At 36.1% G+C, this 24,170-nt stretch overlaps 1 long non-coding RNA gene across 1 annotated transcript in view, besides 1 other annotated feature; it reads right to left on the reverse strand.

The window, feature by feature from the left end:
* The window catches only part of LINC01470 (long intergenic non-protein coding RNA 1470), a 353,385-nt gene that overhangs the window by 141,885 nt on the left and 187,330 nt on the right, over positions 1-24,170 (reverse strand). The window lies entirely within an intron of this gene.
* Positions 7,523-8,102: an enhancer, noted in NCBI's record as "H3K27ac-H3K4me1 hESC enhancer chr5:152147932-152148511 (GRCh37/hg19 assembly coordinates)". NCBI's record gives its function as "activates a minimal SCP1, AML or CMV promoter by ChIP-STARR-seq in naive H9 embryonic stem cells {active_cell/tissue: H9 hESC(naive)}" and the evidence as "EXISTENCE:reporter gene assay evidence [ECO:0000049][PMID:30033119]".

The raw sequence follows: 24,170 nt of genomic DNA on the forward strand, positions 1-24,170 counted from the left end.
AACTATGTTTATGTGTGTTTATGTGTAGATTAAATATTTTATCATAGCAAAATGTTCAACATAATCTCTAGTAATTTTTCTTTAAAATTCTACATTGATTTTAGTATACTAGTTCTCATTTGGTTAGGATTTGCATAATACATTTTCTTTTATAGTTCTAATATACCTTTCTCATGTAACTTTCTCTTCTTGCCACTTAAAATTAGTCTGTTTTAAAGTAATTTGATGTCTTCTATTTCCTTTCATTAAATTGCTTGTTACACATTTATTTTTCATGGTGTCTCTAGATATGCTGGAATGGATTATTGACTTATTAGCATTTGTAACAAATGCTTTTTCCAGGTCCCGTAAAATAAAGTCATCTTATAACATTCTAGCACATATATCTCCTCATGCTTTTAGTGCTGTTGCAATATTAAATTGTATGTATATTGAAAATTTTGAAATATATTATCTTTGGTTTTAACTAGCCAATATTTGTTTAGTTTTGTCTATATATTTACTCCTATGTTATTCAATCTTACTTGCAGTTCCACATTTCTGAGTTTATTTTTGTTTTGCTTGAAAATATCCCTTCTTCTCGGAATGCCAGACATTTCAAATTTACTATTCAAGAGCTTAAGGATGATACTGTCTTTTTCCAGAGATGATTTAGTTCTCTTATTGGCAAGCAGTTGAAGTAGGGGCAGAGGATTTGAATCAGGAATTGCAATTTTTCATGGTTGAGTTTTAGTCTTTGTAAGTCCTAGTCTATTTTGGTTTGCCTACTTCTCTGGCTTTGTTCTTCAAGGTTCTCGACTGAAAGCCAATATGTATAAGACCCTCTTCTTTGGAAGACCTAAACTCCAATAGGTGGCTGACAGCTCTACCTGTCTTCCCAGAAGCTCCCTTCTTGGCTTATGAAAATTTTCACTCTTTGCTGTTTAGAGTGAGGCAAATTCATTGAGGTAAAAAGTGATGTACCAAGAGCTACCATGGTTGCTCTTCAGTGCTTTCAAATGCCGATTTCTTTTTGTTTTATTAAATTTCTATAATTGTTCTCAGCAGGAAGGCTAGGCTATTAAGCTGCTCCATCATAACCAGAAGTGGAATTTTTTCATTACTTCTTACATTATTCTATAACACATTTATTATTACTCTCATCTGACAGATGAGGTAATTGGTTTTTAAAAAGTGGTGTTATTTACTCACAGTCACACAGGTGAGTGGTCAAGCTGTGTTTATTTTTTGATTCCAAAAATTGTGCTGTTAACAAAGCAATATTATAAGGTAGAAAGATGTTCTAAGGCCGGGCACGGTGGCTCACGCCTGTAATCCCAGCACTTTGGGAGGCCGAGGTGGGCAGATCATGAGGTCAAGAGATCGAGACCAGTCTGACCAACATGGTGAAACCCCATCTCTACTGAAAATTCAAAAATTAGCTGGGCTTTGTGGCATGTGCCTGTAGTCCCAGATACTTGGCCGGCTGAGGCAGGAGAATTGCTAGAACCTGGGAGATGGAGGTTGCAGTGAGTCGAGATCATGCCATTGCACTCTAGCCTGGGTGACAGAGAGACTCTGTCTCAAAAAACAAACAAACAAAAATGTTCTAAAGCATACTGAGAATGTGATATGAAAGAAAGTGGTGGAGAAACACAACATACCCGAACCAGTCTATAATCAGAACTCTGGTTTCGACTTAACTTGGTGGCAGTGTCAGTAGGGAAAGAAAGTATCTAAGTAGCCATAATAAAATGTATCCAAATCAGATTATCATAATTTAGGCAATACTTGTATGATTTCTTCATTCAGATGCAATATACATTTCTTTTTTTTTCTTTTATTATTATACTTTAAGTTTTAGGGTACATGTGCACATTGTGCAGGTTAGTTACTTATGTATACATGTGCCATGCTGGTGCGCTGCACCCACTAACTCGTCATCTAGCATTAGGTACGTCTCCCAAAGCTATCCCTCCCCCCTCCCCCCACCCCACAAGAGTCCCCAGAGTGTGATGTTCCCCTTCCTGTGTCCATGTGATCTCATTGTTCAGTTCCCACCTATGAGTGAGAATATGCGGTGTTTGGTTTTTCGTTCTTGCGATAGTTTACTGAGAATGATGATTTCCAATTTCATCCATGTCCCTACAAAGGACATGAACTCATCATTTCTTATGGCTGCATAGTATTCCATGGTGTATATGTGCCACATTTTCTTAATCCAATCTATCATTGTTGGACATTTGGGTTGGTATCAAGTCTTTGCTACTGTGAATAGTGCTGCAATAAACATACGTGTGCAAGTGTCTTTATAGAAGCATGATTTATAGTCCTTTGGGTATATACCCAGTAAAGGGATGGCTGGGTCAAATGGTATTTCTAGTTCTAGATCCCTGAGGAATTGCCACACTGACTTCCACAATGGTTGAACTAGTTTACAGTTCCACCAACAGTGTAAAAGTGTTCCTATTTCTCCACATCCTCACCAGCACCTGTTGTTTCCTGACTTTTTAATGATAGCCATTCTAACTGGTGTGAGATGGTATCTCAATGTGGTTTTGATTTGCATTTCTCTGATGGCCAGTGATGGTGAGCATTTTTTCATGTTTTTTGGCTGCATAAATGTCTTCTTTTGAGAAGTGTCTGTTCATGTCCTTCACCCACTTTTTGATGGGGTTGTTTGTTTTTTCCTTGTAAATTTGTTTGATTTCATTGTAGAGTCTGGATATTAGCCCTTTGTCAGATGAGTAGGTTGCAAAAATTTTCTCCCATTTTGTAGGTTGCCTGTTCACTCTGATGGTAGTTTCTTTTGCTGTACAGAAGCTCTTTAGTTTAATTCGATCCCATTTGTCAATTTTGTCTTTTGTTGCCATTGCTTTTGGTGTTTTAGACATGAAGTCCTTGCCCATGCCTATGTCCTGAATGGTATTGCCTAGGTTTTCTTCTAGGGTTTTTATGGTTTTAGGTCTAACGTTTAAGTCTTTAATCCATCTTGAATTAATTTTTGTATAAGGTGTAAGGAAGGGATCCAGTTTCAGCTTTCTACATATGGCTAGCCAGTTTTCCAAGCACCATTTATTACATAGGGAATCCTTTCCCCATTGCTTGTTTTTCTCAGGTTTGTGAAAGATCAGATAGTTGTAGATATGCGGTGTTATTTCTGAGGGCTCTGTTCTGTTCCATTGATCTATATCTCTGTTTTGGTACCAGTACCATGCTGTTTTGGTTACTGTAGCCTTGTAGTATAGTTTGAAGTCAGGTAGTGTGATGCCTCCAGCTTTGTTCTTTTGGCTTAGGATTGACTTGGCGATGCAGGCTCTTTTTTGGTTCCATAGGAACGTTAAAGTAGCTTTTTCCAATTCTGTGAAGAAAGTCATTGGTAGCTTGATGGGGATGGCATTGAATCTGTAAATTACCTTGGGCAGTATGGCCATTTTCATGATATTGATTCTTCCTACCCATTAGCATGGAATATTCTTCCATTTGTTTGTATCCTCTTTTATTTCATTGAGCAGTGCTCTGTAGTTCTCCTTGAAGAGGTCCTTCACATCCCTTGTAAGTTGGATTCCTAGGTATTTTATTCTCTTTGAAGCAATTGTGAATGGGAATTCGCTCATGATTTGGCTCTCTGTTTGTCTGTTGTTGGTGTATAAGAATGCTTGTGATTTTTGTACATTCATTTTGTATCCTGAGACTTCGCTGAAGTTGTTTATCAGCTTAAGGAGATTTTGGGCTGAGACAATGGGGTTCTCTAGATATACAATCATGTCGTCTGCAAACAGGGACAATTTGACTTCCTCTTTTCCTAATTGAATACCCTTTATTTCCTTCTCCTGCCTAATTTCCCTGGCCAGAACTTCCAACACTATGTTGAATAGGAGTGGTGAGAGAGGACATCCTTGTCTTGTGCCACTTTTCAAAGGGAATGCTTCCAGTTTTTGGCCATTCAGTATGATATTGGCTGTGGGTTTGTCATAGATAGCTCTTATTATTTTGAAATATGTCCCATCAATACCTAATTTATTGAGAGTTTTTAGCATGAAGCATTGTTGAATTTTGTCAAAGGCCTTTTCTGCATCTATTGAGATAATCATGTGGTTTTTGTCTTTGGCTCTGTTTATATGCTGGATTACATTTATTGATTTGCGTATATTGAACCAGCCTTGCATCCCAGGGATGAAGCCCACTTGATCATGGTGGATAAGCTTTTTGATGTGCTGCTGGATTCGTTTTGCCAGTATTTTATTGAGGATTTTTGCATCAATGTTCATCAAGGATATTGGTCTAAAATTCTCTTTTTTTGGTTGTGTCTCTGGCAGGCTTTGGTATCAGAATGCTGCTGGCCTCATAAAATGAGTTAGGGAGGATTCCCTCTTTTTCTATTGATTGGAATAGTTTCAGAAGGAATGGTACCAGTTCCTCCTTGTAACTCTGGTAGAATTCAGCTGTGAATCCATCTGGTCCTGGACTCTTTTTGGTTGGTAAGCTATTGATTATTGCCACAATTTCAGATCCTGTTATTGGTCTATTCAGAGATTCAACTTCTTTCTGGTTTAGTCTTGGGAGAGTGTATGTGTTGAGGAATTTATCCATTTCTTCTTGATTTTCTAGTTTATTTGCATAGAGGTGTTTCTAGTATTCTCTGATGGTAGTTTGTATTTCTGTGGAATCGGTGGTGATATCCCCTTTATCATTTTTTATTGCGCCTATTTGATTCTTCTCTCTTTTTTCCTTTATTAGTCTTGCTAGCAGTCTATCAATTTTGTTGATCCTTTCAAAAAACAAGCTCCTGGATTCATTAGTTTTTTGAAGGGTTTTTTGTGTCTCTATTTCCTTCAGTTCTGCTCTGATTTTAGTTATTTCTTGCCTTCTGCTAGCTTTTGAATGTGTTTGCTCTTGCTTTTCTAGTTCTTTTAATTGTGATGTTAGGGTGTCAATTTTGGATCTTTCCTGCTTTCTCTTGTGGGCATTTAGTGCTATAAATTTCCCTCTACACACTGCTTTGAATGCGTCCCAGAGATTCTGGTATGTTGTGTCTTTGTTCGCGTTGGTTTCAAAGAACATCTTTATTTCTGCCTTCATTTCGTTATGTACCCAGTAGTCATTCAGGAGCAGGTTGTTCAGTTTCCATGTAGTTGAGCGGTTTTGAGTGAGATTCTTAATCCTGAGTTCTAGTTTGATTGCACTGTGGTCTGAGAGATAGTTTATTATAATTTCTGTTCTTTTACATTTGCTGAGGAGAGCTTTACTTCCAAGTATGTGGTCAATTTTGGAATAGGTGTGGTGTGGTGCTGAAAAAAATGTATATTCTGTTGATTTGGGGTGGAGAGTTCTGTAGATGTCTATTAGGTCTACTTGGTGCAGAGCTGAGTTCAATTCCTGGGTATCCTTGTTGACTTTCTGTCTCGTTGATCTGTCTAATGTTGACAGTGGGGTGTTAAAGTCTCCCATTATTAATGTGTGGGAGTCTAAGTCTCTTTGTAGGTCACTCAGGAGTTGCTTTATGAATCTGGGTGCTCCTGTATTGGGTGCATATATATTTAGGATAGTTAGCTCTTCTTGTTGAATTGATCCCTTTACCATTATGTAATGGCCTTCTTTGTCTCTTTTGATCTTTGTTGGTTTAAAGTCTGTTTTATCAGAGACTAAGATTGCAACCCCTGCCTTTTTTTGTTTTCCATTTGCTTGGTAGATCTTCTTCCATCCTTTTATTTTGAGCCTATGTGTGTCTCTGCACGTGAGATGGGTTTCCTGAATACAGCACACTGATGGGTCTTGTCTCTTTATCCAATTTGTGAGTCTGTGTCCTTTAATTGGAGCATTTAGTCCATTTACATTTAAAGTTAATATTGTTATGTGTGAATTTGATCCTGTCATGATGATGTGTTAGCTGGTTATTTTGCTCGTTAGTTGATGCAGTTTCTTCCTAGTCTCGATAGTCTTTACATTTTGGCATGATTTTGCAGTGGCTGGTACCAGTTTTTCCTTTCCATGTTTAGTGCTTCCTTCAGGAGCTCTTTTAGGGCAGGCCTGGTGGTGACAAAATCTCTCAGCATTTGCTTGTCCGTAAAGTATTTTATTTCAGCTTCACTTATGAAGCTTAGTTTGGCTGGATATGAAATTCTGGGTTGAAAATTCTTTTCTTTAAGAATGTTGAATATTGGCCCCCACTCTCTTCTGGCTTGTAGGGTTTCTGCCGAGAGATCCGCTGTTAGTCTGATGGGCTTCCCTTTGAGGGTAACCCGACCTTTCTCTCTGGCTGCCCTTAACATTTTTTCCTTCATTTCAACTTTGGTGAATCTGACAATTATGTGTCTTGGAGTTGCTCTTCTCGAGGAGTATCTTTGTGGCGTTCTCTGTATTTCCTGAATCTGAACGTTGGCCTGCCTTGCTAGATTGGGGAAGTTCTCCTGGATAATATCCTGCAGAGTGTTTTCCAACTTGGTTCCATTCTCCCCGTCACTTTCAGGTACACCAATCAGACGTAGATTTGGTCTTTTCACATAGTCCCATATTTCTTGGAGGCTTTGCTCATTTCTTTTTATTCTTTCTTCTCTAAACTTCCCTTCTCGCTTCATTTCATTCATTTCATCTTCCATCGCTGATACTCTTTCTTCCAGTTGATCGCATCGGCTCCTGAGGCTTCTGCATTCTTCACATAGTTCTCGAGCCTTGGTTTTCAGCTCCATCAGCTCCTTTAAGCACTTCTCTGTATTGGTTATTCTAGTTATACATTCTTCTAAATTTTTTTCAAAGTTTTCAACTTCTTTGCCTTTGGTTTGAATGTCCTCCCATAGCTCAGAGTAATTTGATCGTCTGAAGCCTTCTTCTCTCAGCTCATCAAAGAAGTCATTCTCTGTCCAGCTTTGTTCCGTTGCTGGTGAGGAACTGCGTTCCTTTGGAGGAAGAGAGGCACTCTGCTTTTTAGAGTTTCCAGTTTTTCTGTTCTGTTTTTTCCCCATCTTTGTGGTTTTATCTACTTTTGGTCTTTGATGATGGTGATGTACAGATGGGTTGTTGTTGTGGATGTCCTTTCTGTTTGTTAGTTTTCCTTCTAACAGACAGGAGCCTCAGCTGCAGGTCTGTTGGAGTACTCTGCAGTGTGAGGTGTCAGTGTGCCCCTGCTGGGGGGTGCCTCCCAGTTAGGCTGCTCGGGTGTCAGGGGTCAGGGACCCACTTGAGGAGGCAGTCTGCCCGTTCTCAGATCTCCAGCTGCGTACTGGGAGAACCACTGCTCTCTTCAAAGCTGTCAGACAGGGACATTTAAGTCTGCAGAGGTTACTGCTGTCTTTTTGTTTGTCTGTGCCCTGCCCCCAGAGGTGGAGCCTACAGAGGCAGGCAGGCCTCCTTGAGCTGTGGTGGGCTCCACCCAGTTCGAGCTTCCAGGCTGCTTTGTTTACCTAAGCAAGCCTGGGCAATGGCGGGCGCCCCTCCCCCAGCCTCGCTGCTGCCTTGCAGTTTGATCTCAGACTGCTGTGCTAGCAATCAGTGAGACTCCGTGGTCGTAGGACCCTCAGAGCTAGGTGCAGGATATAATGTCGTGGTGCACCGGTTTTTTAAGCCCATCGGAAAAACGCAGTATTCAGGTGGGAGTAACCCGATTTTCCAGGTGCTGTCCATCACCCCTTTCTTTGACTCGGAAAGGGAACTCCCTGACCCCTTGTGCTTCCTGAGTGAGGCAATGCCTCACCCTGCTTCGGCTCGTGCACGGTGCGTGCACCCACTGACCTGCGCCCACTGTCTGGCACTCCCTAGTGAGATGAACCTGGTACCTCAGATGGAAATGCAGAAATCACGGGTCTTCTGCGTCGCTCATGCTGGGAGCTGTAGACCGGAGCTGTTCCTATTCGGCCATCTTGGCTCCTCCCCCCCACAATATACATTTCTTTAAAAGCAAGGTTATTTACTCTATTTGTCAGTATCACCACTAATTAGGCTGAACACAATACTGTGTGAACTAGAGATAACTGCTAAATGGCAATAAAGCTAGTTAAATGCCGAAGGGTATCCTTGCTCCTATTCTAGTCTGTACTCTAAAGACTAACTATATTTTGTACACCAGTTATTAATGTTTCTACTTATGCATGTTATGTTGAAATATAATGTCCCAGTACCAGGTCTAAAAAACCTCCTAATATGTTTTCTTACGGAAAATCCAAGCAAATTTCCTGGACTTTAAACTCCATGACAGCAGTAGGTCAGCATCGTCTTACTTTACCTACCCACAGTAACATCAACTGATTGACAGTGTTTGAATGTAGTTGACCCTTGAACAACATGGTTTGGACCACGTGGGTCACTTATATGCAGATTGTTTTTCTACCTTTGCTATTCCTGAGACAGTAAGGTAACCCCCTCTTCTTTTTTCTCCTCAACTTATTCAATGTGAAGACAACTCTTACTTAGAGAAGAAAAAAAGTTACTACCTTAAATACAGGGGGAGTGACAGCCTATGTGTTAACACATCACAGACTCTTCAAAGACTAAAGACTTGATCCATCTTCCTCCAAATATCTCCTACCTGCCAAATTTAAACTAATAAACAATCCTCTAATGAGGCAAACATCCCCCTCTTAAAAAGTTGCCAAAGCTTCTGAGAAAGTTAATATCATACTAATTAAATACGTTTTACCAAAATGAGGTTCATCAGCTGACATATGCATTTAATATATATTTACTCAGTACCTGCTCTTTGAAAAGAGTATAGAGTTTATAAATTGACTACATCGTTTTTGCCTTCTTGAAACTTACAGCTCATGATTAGCTACAATAAGAATAGCTGCAGTAGATCATAATGAAGAGAGTTGTAGCTTTCATAACAAAAAGGTTTTGAACAAAATTCTAGTTTCACTCCTTAGTAGCAGTTTGAGTTTATATAACCCAATTAACATTTCTAAATTTAAATTTCTTCCTTTGCTAATTAAGGATTATTATGTCACATGAGTTGTTTTGAGATTTTATTGAAAAAATATTTAAAGTACTTATCACTTCACTTGACAGGGAGTAGGCACCATATAAATAATTCATTTAAAATTATTATTAGAATTAAAACTAAAATAATTAAATTTGCTATGTTTTATACAGCAGAAAATAATTTCAGTGCTATTGGTAACACGAAACAGTTGGTAATTTAAATTCCCACAATAAGAGAGTATATTAAATTAAAAATTTAGATACAATAGACACAGTTCAAAGCAGAACAACCAACTGAAAATATATTTGCAACATGTCTAACAAATTAAGGATTCGTATTTAGAACACATCAGTAAATCCTACAAATCAATGAAAAAAGATAAATATTCCAACAGAAAAAAGTAAGCAAAGGCTGTGAACAAGGAAATCACCAAAGATTAATGCAAATATACACATGAAACAATTCACATAATCACTGGGAAATAAAGTACTGCAGCTGCATATTTCACTCAACAAATTGACAACGGTGAAATACTTTTGATGACACTGGTTATTCATGACGGCTAATGATGGTGTAAATTGTTCCTTTGGAGAGCAATTGGCACATTAAATATTTTTTTCTATATTAAAAAAATTTGTTGTAGCATACATTATGCAAAGCAATTTAAGAATGTGTAAGCATCATTGTTAGAAAAGCACCCATGCTTACATAAAAATAGAAAAATAGCACATTATATAAAATCCCAATTAGTTAGTTAAGCAAGATTATTTCATTTTACTTAGCAAGCCTACACTGAAAAATCACAATTTGCAATGTATTCTAGCTTCAAAAAAAAAAGAGCAAAGAAACAAGTAACAGTGGGATAATATGTTAAAAAAAAAATACAATGTTGAACAGGACATGAGAATTTGATACAATAACATTTGGCAAAAGGAAAGGGAAGGATGGAGGGGAGCAATGGTTTTTGGTTTTATCGTATACCAGTGATATTCTATGTGATCGTGGTATAACTACTTTTCAAATTTCTTTCAGTATATGCTTCTGGAGTGTCTCCTGCTGACTGGTAAATCACCTTGGTTGTAGAAGTTTATGGGGATTTTTTACAACATGAAATAGATTGACATTTATTTTCAATCTGTCCTTTATGTTATGAATAGCCCTATATGGATTATTTGATGATTCAGCCTTGCAACATTGCCTAATTATATGCAAACTAATGAATTATTCTTCAGTTATTACAGTGACATGTTTTTTTTTTAATTATGGAAACAATCAAATGATTACCAAAGTAGGTAATCAAACGATTACCATATTGAATCCCCATGTATCCATTACCCAATTTTAGCAATTAGCAACTCATAGCTAATCTTGTTTAATCTAATACATACTCACCACCAAACAAGGTTATTTAAAAGGAGTTCACAGACAAAATATAATTTTATAAATATTTGAGATGTATCTAGATAAAATCAGACTGCATTTTTATGATCATAGTGAACCTTTGTTATGCCTAAAAAAAACAGCAAGCACTTAATATCACATAGAGTTTCCAAATTTTCTCACTTGTATTATAAATTTTACTTTACCATTTATCTTTTATTTTAGGCCTAAATAACTTCTATACAATGTGATAGGTTGATATAAATTCTGAGTCACTTTAAACTATAATTTCGCCCCTCCTTTTATTTCCTTGTAATTTTTTGCTAAAGTAACTGGGTCCTAAGTCCTGCAGAATTTCCCATAACTTGGGCTTTGCTGATTACATTTCCATGGTTATATAATGTTTACCTAACTTTTTTATTTTCAGAAGAATTGGTGGTAGGATATAGAGGCTTGTTCTAATTCTGGTTTGTAGTTACTTTTGGCATGACAACAACACATGTGGCATGGTGTGTTTTAATCAGAAGACATATCTAGTTGACTCTCCTTCTGTGATATTAGCAACTATTACAGACCATTGTCTACATCAGTGCCACTCAAATTGTGTTCTGTGGGCCCACCTTGGTACCACCTAGAAGCTTATAAGAAATGCAAATCAGTGGCTCCACCCCAGACAGGTAAATCACAATCTCTGGAGGTGGTGCCTAGAAGTCTTTAACAAATTTCCTGGGTAATTATTTTGCACATTAAATTTTGAGAATGGCTAACTTAGGTCAATTAATTTACCATGGGTTGGAAAATGGTTATGATAAAATATCATTTCTTTTCAAATTAATAGTTGTAACTCTATATACTATATATTATTTCTTTTCAAATTAATAGTTGTAACTCTTTATACTATATATTGTTTTTTATTATGGTCATATTTATTACTATAATTTATTATACTCATTATTTTTAACTGACACTATTTGTATATATGTGTGGGGTACAATGTGATAATTCAATACACATATGCAATGTGCAATGATCAAATCAGGGTGATTTGCATATTCATAATAAAAAAATTATCATTTATTTGTATTGAAAATATTCAAAATCTGCTATTTTAGCTATTTGAAAACATAGACATAATTGTCTTTTATTATAGCCTCTCTATGGTACTATAGACTCCTAGAACTTTTTCCTCCCATGTAGCTTTACTTTTGTATTGTTGATGAAAAGAGCCAAACTCTGTAAAATATTTTAAGAGATTTATTCTGAGCCAAATATAAGTGACCATGGCCCCTGACACAGCCTTCAGGAGGTCCTGACAATATGTGCCCAAGGTGGTTGGGATACAGCTTGGTTTTATATATATATATGTGTGTGTGTGTGTGTGTGTGTGTTTGTATATATATATTTACATATATATATTTATATATACAATTTTACCAATATTTATTTTTCCTTATAGTATAGAAAGCTATATATATTTATATGCCTTCATAAACTAATTTATATGTATATATTATTAATATAAAATTTTAAAAAATATATATTTTATATTATTCGTATATATATTTTAGGAAGGCATGAGACATCAATCAAATACATTTAAGAAATAGATTGGTTTGGCACCAAAAGCAATGGCAACAAAAGCCAAAATTGACAAATGGGATCTAATTAAACAAAAGAGCTTCTGCACAGCAAAAGAAACTATCATCAGAGTGAACAGGCAACCTACAGAATGGGAGAAAATTTTTGCAATCTATCCATCTGACAAAGGGCTAATATCCAGAATCTACAAAGAACTTAAACAAATTTACAAGAAAAAAAAAAGCAGCCCCATCAAAAAGTGGTCAAAGGATATAAACAGACACTTCTCAAAAGAAGACATTTATGCAGTCAACAAACATATGAAAAAAAGCTCATCATCACTGGTCATTAGAGAAACGCAAATCAAAACCACAATGAGATACCATCTCATGCCAGTTAGAATGGCAGTTATTAAAAAGTCAGGAAACAACAGATGCTGGAGAGGATGTGGAGAAATAGGAAGACTTTTACACTGTTGGTGGGAGTGTAAATTAGTTCAACCATGTGGAAGAGAATGTGACAAATCCTCAAGGATTTAGAACCAGAAATACCATTTGACCCAGCAATTCCATTACTGGGGATATACCCAAAGGAGTATAAATCATGCTGCTATAAAAAAAAATACACACGTATGTTTATTGCAGCACTGTTCACAATAGCAAAGACTTGGAACCAACCCAAATGCCCATCAGTGATAGACTGGATAAAGAAAATGTGGCACATATACACCATGGAATACTATGCAGCCATAAAAAAGGATGAGTTCATGTCCTTTGTAGGGACATGGATGAAGCTGGAAACCATCATTCTCAGCAAACTAACACAAGAACAGAAAACCAAACACCGCATGTTCTCACTCACAGGTGGGAGTTGAACAATGAGAACACATAGACAGGGGGAGGGGAATGTCATACATTGGGGCCTATCAGTGCATGGGGGGCTAGGGGAGGGATAATATTAGGAGAAATACGTAATGTAGATGACGGGTTGATGGGTGCAGCAAACCACCATGGCGCGTGTATACCTATGTAACAAACCTGCACGTTCTGCACATGTATCCCAGAACTTAAAGTATAATAAATTACTGTGCAGAAGCTCTTTAGTTTAATTAGATCCCGTTTGTCAATTTTGGCTTCTGTTGCCATTGCTTTTGGTGTTTTAGACATGAAGTCCTTGCCCACAGAGTGAACAGGCAACCTACAGAATGGGAGAAAATTTTTGCAATCTACTCATCTGACAAAGGGCTAATATCCAGAATCTACAATGAATTCCAACACATTTACAAGAAATAAACAAACAACCCCATCAAAAAGTGGGTGAAGGATATGAACAGACACTTCTCAAAAGAAGACATTTATGCAGCTAACAGACACATGAAAAATGCTCATCATCACTGGCCATCAGAGAAATGCAAATCGAAAACACAATGAGATACCATCTCACACCAGTTAGAATGGCAATCATTAAAAAGTCAGGAAACAGGTACTGCAGAGGATGTGGAGAAATAGGAACACTTCTACACTGTTGGTGGGACTGTAAACTAGTTCAACCACTGTGGAAGTCAGTATGGTGATTCCTCATGGATCTAGAACTAGAAATACCATTTGACCAGCAATCCCATTACTGGGTATATACCCAAAGGATTATAAATCATGCTGCTATAAAGTTACATGCACACGTATGTGTAATGTGGCACTATTCACAATAGCAAAGACTTGGAACCAACCCAAATGTCCAACAATGATAGACTGGATTAAGAAAATGTGGCACATATACACCATGGAATACTATGCAGCCATAAAAAGATGAGTTCATGTCCTTTGTAGGGACATAGATGAAGCTGGGAACCATCATTCTCAGCAAACTATTGCAAGGACAAAAAACCAAACACTACATGTTCTCACTCATTGGTGGGAATTGAACAATGAGAACACATGGACACAGAAAGGGGAACATCACACACCGGGGCCTGTTGTGGAGTGCGGGGAGGGGGGAGGGATAGCATTTGGAGATATACCTAATGTTAAATGATGAGTTACTGGGTGCAGCACACCAGCATGGCACATGTATACATATGCAACTAACCTGCATGTTGTGCACATGTACCCTAAAACTTAAAGTATATGAAATATATATATATATAAATTTAAAACAAAGTATAATAAATTAAAAAAAATATACATTGATTTGGCTTAGAAAGGCAGGACAACTCAAAGTGGGGGCTTCCAGGCTATAGGTAAATTTAAACATTTTCTGGTTGACAATTGAGTTTGTCTAAAGAGCTGGGATCCCCAGAAGGGAATGTTCAGGTTAAAGGATTGTGGAGAGCAAGTTTTATTGTGTAGAGGAAGCTCTTAGATAGCGGACTTTAGAGAAAGCAGGATGTAAATTGTTTTTTATTGGATTTAAAAGGGTGTCTGGCCCTGAGTTGATTATCTCCTGGATCTGGGAAGGAAGGAAGGAAAACAAAGGGGGAAGGGGATTCTCTATAGAATGTGAATTTTTCCCACAAGAGACTCTGCAGGGCAATTTCAAGGTATGACAAGGAAATATATTTTGGGGTAGAACACTTTGATTTTCTTCCTTGTTAAGCCAGAGTCAAATTGGAAAGTAAGTCACAATATACAGGGTCAAATAAAACCCATCTGATGAAAATTTAAGGTTTGTAGGGCATGACTCCCTAGACCACTTAGATAGGAATTTGGGCAAGAGAAAAAATCAGAGCTTAGTCTGCAGTATTCATTAACCAACCACTGGCTATTTCCCTGTAATTCTATATTAATCTTTATGTTGTCACCTCGCTAATTATACTGGATTTCTAAAGCTTGTTCTACAATAGGCTCTCATGAAATGCCTATGGGACAAATACCTTATGTGTTCTTGCACATTCATAATGATTTGTCTTAGCCTTTATACTTGAAGCTCAAACTGGCTGAAAATAAAATCTGAGGGGCACATTTTCTTTGAGTATTTTATAGACATTACCCACTTTCCCCCATTTTACCACATAAAGGCTGAGATATACAGGCCGTTGAAAACATTTTATAATGAACTCTAATATACCTGCTACCTCAATTCTATTATTACTATTGTCTACAGTTTTTTAAATCACAGTTATCAATATGTCCACCTGTCAAACCACCTTAATTTTGATGGACTTCTAATTGTAGACAGTGCATACTTCCTCAATACCTCAGCATATGTATCACTTACTAGAGTTCATTTTTTAGTTTCTGTAAAATTTATGTACACTAAAATTAATAAAATTTAAAAAGCTAAAATAGACAAATGTGACCTAATTAAACTAAAGAGCTTCTGCACAGCAAAAGAAACTACCATCATTGTGAACAGGCAGCCTACAGAATGAGAGAAAATTTTTGCAATCTACCCTTCTGACAAAGGGCTAATATCCAGAATCTACAAAGAACATAAACAAATTTACAATTAAAAAATCAAACAACCCCATCAAAAAGTGGGCAAAGGATATAAACAGACACTTCTCAAAAGAAGACATTTATGCAGCCAACAGACACATGAAAAAATGCTCATCATCACTGGTCATCAGAGAAATGCAAATCAAAACCACAATGAGATACCATCTCACACCAGTTAGAATGGCGATCATTCAAAAGCCAGGAAACAACAGGTGCTGGAGAGGATGTGGAGAAATAGGAACACTTTTACACTGTTGGTGGGACTGTAAACTAGTTCAACCATTGTGGAAGACAGTGTGGCGATTCCTCAAGGATCTAGAACTAGAAATACCATTTGACCCAGCGATCCTATTATTGGGTACATACCCAAAGGATTATAAATCATGCTAGTATAAAGACACATGCACACATATGTTTATTGCAGCACTATTCACAATAGCAAAGACTTGGAACCAACCCAAATGTCCATCAGTGATGGACTGGATTAAGAAAGTGTGGCATATATACACCATGGAATACTATGCAACCATAAATAATAATACTATGCAGGGACATGGATGAAGCTGGAAACCATCATTCTGAGCAAACTATCGCAAGGACAGAAAACCAAACACCGCATGTTCTCACTCACAGGTGGGAATTGAATAATGACAACACTTGGACACAGGGCGGGGAACATCACACACCGGGGCTTGTCGTGGAGTGAGGGGATGGAGGAGGGATAGCATTAGGAGAAATACCTGATGTAAATGACAAGTTAATGGGTGCAGCAAACCAACACGGCACATGTATACATATGTAACAAAACTGCACGTTGTGCACATGTACCCTAGAACTTAAAGTATAATTAAAAAATAACAAAAAATAAAATTAAATTAAAATATACAGTTGTTTTTTGAAAACATGCATACGTCATTACTCAATTATCAAGATATAGAACATTGTCGTCACTCAAAAAGGTCCCTCATATCTATTTCCAGTTAATCTCCACTAATCCTCCCTAGATTGATTTTCACCATTCTAGAATATCATTTATATGAAATTATGTCTACATTTTCTTTTACCTAAGGCTTCTTTCAGTCACAATAGTGCTTTTAAGTTTCATTCTTGTTGTTTCATGCAGATATGTTTGTTTCAATTAATTGGATAGTATTTCATTATATGAATACATCACAATTTGTTTTATCTATTCCTCTATTGATGGACACCTGGGTTGTTTGACTTTCTTGGTTATGACAAAGTTGCTATGAATACCTGCATGTAAGTCTTTTTGTTGACACATTTTTTTTTTCATGGGAAAATGTCTAGGAGTAGAATTGTGGGGTCTTAGTGTAGGTAAATGTTAGTTGTGTAAGAACCAGAACCTTTCCTAAACCGGTTGTACAGCTTTATACTCCTACTTGATCCATAACCTTGTTAGTTCACATTTCATTTTTGCCTTTTTAAAAATAAATATTTTTGTCCTGGTATTATCATTTTTAGATCTTTGTATACCCATGAGACTAGTCCTTGGTTAGATATATGTTTTGTAAATTTTTTTGAATCTGTGGTGTACCTATTCATTTTCTTAATGGTGACCTTTAATGGGAAGTATATTAGATTTTAAAAATGTCCATTGTATTAATTTTTACTTTTATATTTATTTCTATATTGTATAGGAAACACTAGCTTATTCCCTTGTAATGAAAATATTTTTCTGCTTATTTTATTTTAAAAGTTCTATGATACTTGACTTTTACATTTAGGTTATGAGTCATCTCCCAATCAATTTTATGTATGCTGTGATATAGGGTCACATTTAACTATTTTGCCATATGGATATCGACTTGGATCAGAACAATTTATTGAAAACATATGTCTTTCCCAAACACATTTCTTCCTCAAACAATTGTTTAAGTCTTAGTTGGTTTCTAGGCTGTTTGTTTTGTTCCATTGGTTCGGTTGTCAATAATTATTTTAGTACCCACCCCCATCTTAGAAACTGTTATAGAAAGTACTCTATGTCCTTCGTGTTGTCTTTTTTCAAGGGTGCTTTGGACTGTCTAGGTCTTTTGCTTATCATATAAATTTTAGAATTATGTTGTTAATTTCTATAAAATTTCTGCTGGGAGTATGATTGAAATTGCATTCATCTGAGTCTTTCTCAGTTGAGGTAATTTTGCTTCTCAGGGGACATTTGACAATATTTGGGCACAGCTTTTGTTTTTACAGCTGAAGAAAATAGTAAGTGAGACTAGGGATACTGCTAATTATCTTACAATGAATAAATATTCCACCTCTGGCAATAAAGTATTGTCTAACCCAATCTTATTGTCAGATTTCTCTTTTTCTTCTATGAAAATTCATCTGCTTAAACCTGTCTTCAGAAGAACCTATATGGACAAATAATGTGTCCTAGGAAATCAGACGTTTTAGGTAGGCTTTCAAATATGGATTTAATCCATAATTTTATAATGGTACTATTTACTTTATTAGGATGACTGGCAAACACGTATTTCTTAAAAAGCTGGATATATAAAAGAAACAAGCATTTCTCTTGCCTTTCCTATTTGGCCTACATCATTAATAACAATGTTAATGAGAGGAAATGTCTCATTAAAGTTATTCTCAAAAATAGTTTTAAAACATAATAGAATTAAAATATCACCATTTTGCAATTGTTAATAAATTAATATATCTAGGTATTAAGCAGCAATGGGTGTAAACATCACAAAGAACAAAAACTAGACATTATATACCTCCTGATGAAAGAGTACAATGCCACACATAATCATTCCGAAGAGGTCGAATGTAAGTATAATCAACCCTTTGGGTCTGCCTCCCAATTGATAGAAAATCCAGAGGACAATAGAGTGTATTGTCTACACCAGGAGTGTACAATCAATAACATCCAGATGATAAAAAAAAAAACCTCTATAGATCAAATGTTCTGAATTCTTCAAGAGATTAATTGTATGGAAAAAGTTAAATGGTAGGAAACCTGTAGATTAAAAGGAATTTAAAAGACATATCAGGTTAAAAATGGACAAGACTAAATTAAAGAATCTAGAGATATATACTTAGGTAGTGAAATAATGAGGAAAACCAAGAGTTATTACTGTAAAATGCAGGATAGTAGATACCTTTAGGGGAAGAAGAGAGTTGTGAATGAGGCAGAGTAATAAACAAGGCTTCTGGGATAACTAGAAATGTCCACTTCATGACCAGGGTGGCAGTTACAATTAAATTCAGGAAACCATTTATTTGTTTTAGGTGGTTTTCTGTTAGTTTTATTTTATACTAAAAATGTTACAAAACATCAAAGACAAAGTACTATCAGGGAAATAATATTTGTAACTTCTTAGGCAAAGATCTATCTCTGTATTGTATAAAGAGCTCTTATAAATTGAGAATTTTAAAAACACAAGCTCTAATGCAATAATGAGCAAGGAACTTGATTAGCCAGGTCACAGAATAACATGCAAATGCACTTAGACACAGTTTTTAAAGTCTCAACTTCAATTACAATGAGATAAATTATATTAATTGCTATTTCCAGTTATTACTGGATTAGTAAAATTCGAGAAGTTTGAAAGCCCACTCTGGTGAGATTTTGAGGAAATAGGCACTTTCATACATTGCTAGTAGAAACAGAAAATGGCACAACTACTATGGCAGGCAGTCAGCGGTATCTACCAGAATCACACATGCATTGCTCTTTAAACTAGTAGTCACTTCTAGGAATGCAGACATACACAAATACTATTTCTGAAGCTATGTATTACAACATTGTTTGTGATAGCAAAAGGCACACTCTAAACATCCCTCTGAGGGGATTTATTAAATAAACCATAGTATATACACAAAATGTAATACTATTTAGCTGTAAAAAAAGAATGAGAGCCCTTCACATACATACTGAAATGGAAATACTTCCAGGATACTAGATGCAAAAAAGTAAGAATTTAACTTAGATCTAACATATAGGTACAAAAAGCAGATTAAGAGAACTATTTATATTTGTCTTCTAATAAACCTGAGAAATATAAAACAAACTTTAAAAAGAGGTATTCATAGATAGCAGAATGAGAAAAATGGCAGAAATACTTACAATAGAAAATACTTTTTCTATCATTTTGATTTTGAAACATGGGAATACATTTAATAAATAAAATGCAATTTAGTAAAATAAGCATTCCTCTAGATTCCATACCTTTTATAGATATTTTATAGATATTACCTCATTTCTGTTTACCTTACAACAAAATTCATTATGTGTACTTCTGCACCACTATTTCTTGAAACCTCTTCAATGGGACTTTCATCCCTACCATTATACCAAAACAGCTCTGATGAGGATTATCAGTAACATTTATTATATGTCTAAGCCCAATGATCAGTTCCTAGTCTTTATCTTACTTGATCAACGGCAGTTTTTTTACACAATGGATCCCTTGTCCTCCTGGAAGCATATTTTTATTTTCTTCCAGGAAAATCCCAGTGACTTGGGATTAGTCCTTGGGTCTCTTAGCTTCTCTAATCTTATTCCCTTAATGATCTCTTCCTGCAATCTTGGCTTTAAATACCATCTACATACCAATAACTTTCAAATGTGTATCTTAGGTCTGGACTTATGGCTATACTCCACATTTCTAGATTCTTCTATCTACTCACTGTCTTCACTTAGATATTGAATGTGAAACTCGATTTTAATAATTTAAAAACACAACTTCTTACCTTTCTCACCCTTGCATCAAGCCTGCTCCTCTTACAGTTATCTATCTTATTAAATGATGACTCCATCTTTCTCATTGTTCAGGCCCCAAACTTTAGTGTTATCCTTAATTTCCCTCTTTCATTCATACCCCAAATCCAATTCCTGAGAAAACCCTATAGTGTCTACTTTAAAATACATCCAAGACAGTAAACTTGCAATCAGTTCCCCTTGCTCTTTTCTGTTCTTAAAACAATAGTCAAAGGGATTCTTTTAGATACAAATTAAATCATGTTACTCTGCCCAAAACTCTCCAATGGCTCTATATTGTTACCTGCCCTGCAAGGCCCTACATGATCTGAACCCCTTGCTCTCTGACTTCTCCTCTAAGTACACTCACCATGAGCATTGCTCAGTGTCTTCAGCTACGCCAACCTCTCCTCTCCCAAAGTCATCCTGGTGACTTGTTCCTACACCTTTTTATGTTTTATGTTGAGATCTCAACTTAGTTACCATTGTGTTTCAAATGGCAATTATAAGCATTCCTTCCTGATGCTTTGTTTTTTCATAGTATTTATCATCTATCTAACATTTTATATATGTTATTTACTTATTTGCTTCTATCTCCATACAGAAAGGGATTTTTTAGTCTGTTTTGTTCACTGCTGTATTCCCAGTGCCCACAACAATGCCTGAAACATAGAAGAGACTCAGAGAATAAAAGTGGTGACTAAATGATGTACAACTTAAGCCTTTATAATTTTTGGTGCTTTTTCTTGTGTTGCTTAGTTTACATGAAGCAGAAATGAACCATTCTGACATTACATTTCTGCTGATCAGGAAATAGGCCCTTTTATACCTCCTCTACAATGGCAGAAGAAGGAAATATATTTGAAAATAAGACATACTACCATCCACGGAAAGCTCTTTGAATAGTAGATATAGTCTTCAAGAGCTCTCAATCAGAGGTCTTCCATACTCTCCGCAAAAGCCAAAGAGTTTCATTACATTTCTTCGACCTGAGCTGAAGCAGACTGTTAGTGTAAAATGTTCATGGGGATTTAGAAAAATTTTGTAGTATGTATTGTAGTGTGCATTTATGGTTCCGTGGCAGAGTGCAAGGAGCAATAAGATTGAGAAAAATTTATTACAACAATCTATTTTAATCTTTATTTTCACATGTCGAAATGCTTTAATGCTGTCTTAAATTAAAATTATGACTAAAAGTAAATCAAAGGCTTTGGAAAAATAATTGTTACAACTAAATCTCCCATTTACTTGGAATGATAATATATTGGACAAATATTTCTGGTCTAGGTACTACAGTAATTTTATACTTTGACTTGCCTCACTCTGCTCCAAACATAACAATAATGCATTAAATATATTTGGGGAAAAAATAAATTGCAGGGCTCTCAAACAAAATGAACAGAAGTGGATTAAAAACAGAAACTAAGAGAAGAACCAGAGCCATGGGCTGCTCTAGGCCTGAGTTTATCTCTTGTGTGAAAATAACAGAGACAAAAAATATTCCCACGCAATAAAGCTGCGGTCCCCGACCTTTTTGGCACCAGAGACCAGTTTAATGGAAGACAATTTCTCTATGGAGCAGGGGTGGGGTGGTTGGTTTCAGAATGATTCAAGTGCGTTACATTTATTGGGCATTTTATTTCTATTATTACGTTGTAATATATGATGAAATCATTATTACAACTCATCATAATAAAGAATCACAGAGAACACTGATCTTGTTTTCCTGCAACTAGACGATCCCATATGGGGGTGATGGGAGACACTGACAAATCGTGAGGCATTAGATTTTCCTTAGGAGTTTGCAACCTAGCTCCCTCACATGCACAGTTCACAACAGGGGTTGTGCTCCTTTGAGAATCTAATGCCACTGCTGATCTGAGGAGGGGCAGAGCTCAGGCAGTAATGCGAGTGATGGGGAGTCACTGTAAATACAGATGAAACTTTGCTCATTCACCTGCTGCTCACCTCCTGCTGTGCAGCCCAGTTCCTAACAGGGCACAGACTGGTACTGGTCCATGGCCCAGGGTTCAGGACCCTTGCAATAAAGTACACACAAAATTCATCTTATAAAATAATCTGCAAAAAAGACTTCAAAATGTGCATTAGAGTATATTTAGGATGCTCAAAATATATGTAAATAATTTATTAATATAGTAAAAGAAATCATGAACTTTAAACAGGAAAAGGTAAGCGTAAAAAAAAAAAAAGCAATCAGAAATCTCTGCTATGCTGAGATTATAACTTAATTACTCCCTTACGCTCTGTGGACCAGATTCAGAATACATGTGACCAAGGCTAAAGGCCTAGGTTCCATGGTTCATACAGTGAAGCGAGCAGTGGAGACAGGAGACAGTAGGCTCAGCTTCTTCATGTTAGTGACCTGGAGGAAGGTTCACAGCTTGAAGCCAGAGCTTGGGATAAGTCACCTCCAATCCTAAAAGGAACATCCCAAACCACCTCAATAAAGGTTAAGCTTTGACTGGGAAGACTTTACCAGAGCCATAGGCCTAGGGAAACAGAGAACAAAGATGTAGTCTTACTCCCAGTAACTATGCTAACCTGTCCCCATGCATATATATGACATAGCCCTCACACCACAGAGGAGGCTGCAATTCGAATCTGCAACAGTAAAGCCTAAGAGGTCTGGTGACCTCTTGCAACATGGAAGCCTAGTGGGACTCTGAGTCACTGCGTGGAAGTGAGGCCCCCAACCTGCATTAGACTATGCATGAGACAATATCAAAAACAAATGCTTGGTTTGTTGTGACATTGAGATTTTAGAATTCGTGTTTCTGTTGTGGGAGACAGTGTTAATAACCTAATTAATGTAACTATTTTTAATTTGCCTAGTAAAATAAAAGTAACAAGATACAATGTACAATGGGTAGTTAAAATACGTGAAAGGTCTTTTTTGTTTATAAAAAGAGAGAAACTTGCATAGCTTTAGAATTTTATAAAATTATTAAATCTTCTATCAATGCTACAAAAGGCAGATGGGAGGAAAAAATATGCACACAAAGATGACAACAAAGTGATAGAAATAAGTCTAAATAAATAAAAAATTATAATGAATGCAATCAAGTTGAACTCCTGATTAAAGGATAAATATTATCAGGTTGAATAAAAACAGTAAAACATAGTGATAACCTGCATATAAGAAACATTCCTAAAACACTCCTAAAATGAACTTGAAATAAAAATGAGCTTCATAGTAATATTAAAAATGGAAATAGCTTACAAGGCAAAACTCATTAACAAGAATAAAGAGAAATGCTACATTGTAATAAAAAAGATAATTCACCAAGAACATATCAAACCTATGAACTGGATGTTCACACCATTGTGCATTAAAGTATGTAAAGTAATACTGACAAGCACAAAAAGAAATTGACAAGTCTACAATTATACTGGAACATGTGAAACACCTCTGTGAGAATGAGATAGATGAAGCAGACAAAAAATTAGTAAGGCTATGAGAATCTTAACAACAAAATAGACACATCTAACATGTTTGCCAATCTACATATTTACCTCTACATTTGAGAAATAAAGTACTACTACAAGATATTCTTTTAATAATACAAGATTTAATTTTTAAAGGAAGTCCATTTTATTCCCTTTTTCTTCTTACTGAGATGAATTTAAATTTTGAATGTCCTCTGAGCAGCAAGAAATGAAAGCTACCATACAATCATCTTTGCACCTGCATTTTTGGTTTGTTAGTAGTAGTGATAAAATAATATAATATTTGCCTTGTTTTCATTGTCCTCAGTGGGTTTTAAAATTTTGACATTAAAAGTTCAATGTTATAAACATTGAGTAACATAAATGTGCTTTGTTTGCAAAGTTTTAAGTGAGCATTATTTAAAAGTTAAAAGAATGCTTACTACCATATTATGCAAGACAGACATATTATGGAATCATTTATTTGCAGACAGTGTTCTATAGCTTTTTTTATTGTGGTAAGAACAACTAACATGAGATTGCCCTCTTAAATTTTTAAGTATGTAATACATTACTGTTGACTGTAGGTACAGATCTTCTAATGCTTACTCACCTTGCATGACTGAAATTTTATGCCCATTGATTAACTCTCCATTTTTCCCTCTCTTCATCAAAAACACCTGGTTTTTACATCATATCAAGGAAAGAGGCACTG

Source organism: Homo sapiens, chromosome 5, assembly GCF_000001405.40.
Source record: "Homo sapiens chromosome 5, GRCh38.p14 Primary Assembly".
Classification (NCBI taxonomy): domain Eukaryota; kingdom Metazoa; phylum Chordata; class Mammalia; order Primates; family Hominidae; genus Homo; species Homo sapiens.